The sequence below is a fragment of the Homo sapiens genome, chromosome 11, assembly GCF_000001405.40.
Source record: "Homo sapiens chromosome 11, GRCh38.p14 Primary Assembly".
NCBI classification, from domain to species: Eukaryota; Metazoa; Chordata; class Mammalia; order Primates; family Hominidae; genus Homo; species Homo sapiens.
In genome coordinates this window covers 23,519,782-23,522,517 of record NC_000011.10, presented here as the reverse complement: position 1 = coordinate 23,522,517, position 2,736 = coordinate 23,519,782, and the positions used below count along the sequence as shown (strand labels likewise).

The 2,736-nt window shown below is 45.4% G+C and overlaps 1 pseudogene; it reads right to left on the bottom strand.

The window, feature by feature from the left end:
• On the bottom strand, nucleotides 1,276–2,223 carry RPS2P38 (ribosomal protein S2 pseudogene 38; annotated as a pseudogene).

Genomic DNA, 2,736 nt, shown 5'->3' with positions numbered 1-2,736 from the left:
AGTACAGTGATTGAAAACAGTAAATAATTTATTACATAAATGGAGATATTATAGAGGAAAAGTGATACTTGGCAGTGGAATTTTATGGACAGCCTAGTAAGTCATGGAAGAAAAACAAGCTGGCTTCTCTTTTTTGGAGTGATTAAAGTTTTGTAAAACATTTTTTTTTTCAGGTTTGTATCTCTGTCACTGATTTGCTACCCAGATTTCACATATCATGGACTGCCCTTCTTTTATGTATTTGTTAATTTGGCTATTTTATTTTATTTTATTATTATTTATACTTTAAGTTCTGAGAAACATGTGCAGAATGTGCAGGTTTGTTACAAAGGTATACATGTACCGTGGTGGTTTGCTGCACCCATCAACCCGTCATCTACATTAGGTGTTTCTCCTAATGCTATTCCTCCCCTTGCTCCCCACCCCACAACAGGCCCCAGTGTGTGACGTTCCCCTCCCTGTGCCCATATGTTCTCTTTGTTCAACTCCCACTTATGAGGGAGAACATGCGGTGTTTGGTTTTCTATTCTTGTGTTAGTTTGCTGAGAATGATGGTTTCCAGCTTCATCCATGTCCCCGCAAAAGACATGAACTCATTAAAAAGTCAGGAAACAACAAATGCTGGAGAGGATGTGGAGAAATAGGAACACTTTTACACTGTTGGTGGGAGCGTAAGTTAGTTCAACCATTGTGGAAGACAGTGTGGTGATTCCTCAAGGATCCAAAGCTAGAAATACCATTTGACCCAGCAATCCCATTACTGGGTATATACCCAAAGGATTATAAATCATTCTACTATAAAGACACTTGCACACGTGTGTTTATTGCAGCACTATTCATAATAGCAAAGACTTGGAACCAACCCAAATTCCCATCAATGATAGACTGGATAAAGAAAATGTGGTACATATAGGCCGGGCATTGTGGCTCACAGCTGTAATCCCAGCACTTTGGGAGGCCAAGGTGGGTGGATCACGAGGTCAGGAGATCAAGACCATCCTGGCTAACATGGTGAAACCCCATCTCTACTAAAAATACAAAAAATTAGCCAGGCATGGCGGCGTGCGCCTGTAGTCGCAGCTACTCAGGAGGCTGAGGCAGGAAAATGGTGTGAACCCGGGAGGCTGAGCTTTCAGTGAGCCAAGATTGCACCACTGCGCTCCAGCCTGGGAGACAGAGCAAGACCCAGTCTCAAAAAAAAAAAAAAAGAAAGAAAGAAAGAAAATGTGGCACATATATACCATGGAATACTATGCAGAGATTTTATTATTTTTTTAACATGCTTAATTCACTTTATTTTTCTTGTAAAAAAATCCTATGTTGTAGCCACAGCTGGAGCCTGAGTCCTCTCCACAGAGACTCTGGCATAGGTCTTGACAAGATGGTCAATGAATTCCTGATAGGGAGACTTGATGAATACATTCTCCTTCCAGAGGCCAGGGTCAGGTAGCTGTAAGTCTTGGAGATGGAATAAAAGGTGAAATTGGTGAAGTTGCCAAGGGTGGCAGTGCAACCCCTGGCTGAGCTGTGTCAGTCATCAATACTGGCCATCAGCAGCAGCTTCTTGGGCAAAGTGGCTGAGACAATGCCAGTGCTGCTGGGTGCAGGGATGAGGCACACCAGCACAGAGCTGCAGTGGCCTGTCACCTTGCAAATGAGAGTGTGGGTTTTGCCAATCCTGTTCCTCCAGTAGCCTGTGTGCATGGGGACGGTGGAGAGCTTGGCCAGGATGTTGGCCCATCGGATGGCAGTGGCAACCTCCTTGGGGCATTTAACATCCAGACGGACATGGCCAGTGTAGTCCCTGATGGCAGTAAACACCTTCAACCTGGTGCACCGGCCAGCGCAGGTCTGCTTCTGCACCAGCATAATCTTCAAAACTTCATCTTTGAGAGAGGCCCCCAGGAAAAGGTCAATGATCTCAGACTCCTTGATGGGCAGAGAGAAGAGGCAGATCTCCTCCAGGGATCTGATCTGCATGTCTTTGACCAGGTGGCCCAGCTTGACGACCAGCATCAACTCCTTATCCTCAGCCTGGCCTCCTTGAACTCCGCAGTTTTAGCCCCCGCCTCAGCCCCGACCACTGAGGCGACCCCAGCCCCAGATGCCACTGACAAAGCCTCAGGAGAAGCCACCACACTTCCCCATCCCAGGGCCCCTGGGGCCTCCAGGCTCTCCCATTGCACCAGTGTCATCCCGGCATTTGGTGTTTTCTCAGAGAAGCAATTTGGTTATTTTAAATGTCATATATTATACTTCAGCTTTTCTTTTTTGAAATTGACCTATACTTAACATTTGTTTGAGAGTCTTTAGCCTTTATGCCAAATCTGGTACTTTAAAAGTTATTTAAAATTATAGTTCTTTTTTTTGTTTGTTTGTTTGTTTTGAGATGGAGTCTTGCTCTGTCACCCAGGCTGGAGTGCAATGATGAGATCTCAGCTCACTGCAAGCTCTGCCTCCCAGGTTCACACCATTCTCCTGCCTCAGCCTCCTGAATAGCTGGGACTACAGGCACCCACAACCACGCCCGGCTAATTTTTTGTATTTTTAGTAGAGATGGGGTTTCACCGTGTTAGCCAGGATGGTCTCAATCTCCTGACCTCGTGATCTGCCCACCTTGGCCTCCTAAAGTGCTGGGATTACAGGCGTGAGCCACTGCGCCCGGCCTACAGTTACAGTATTTATATGATCTAAGATCATATATACAATGTATATAATCTAATAGGTATATATCTC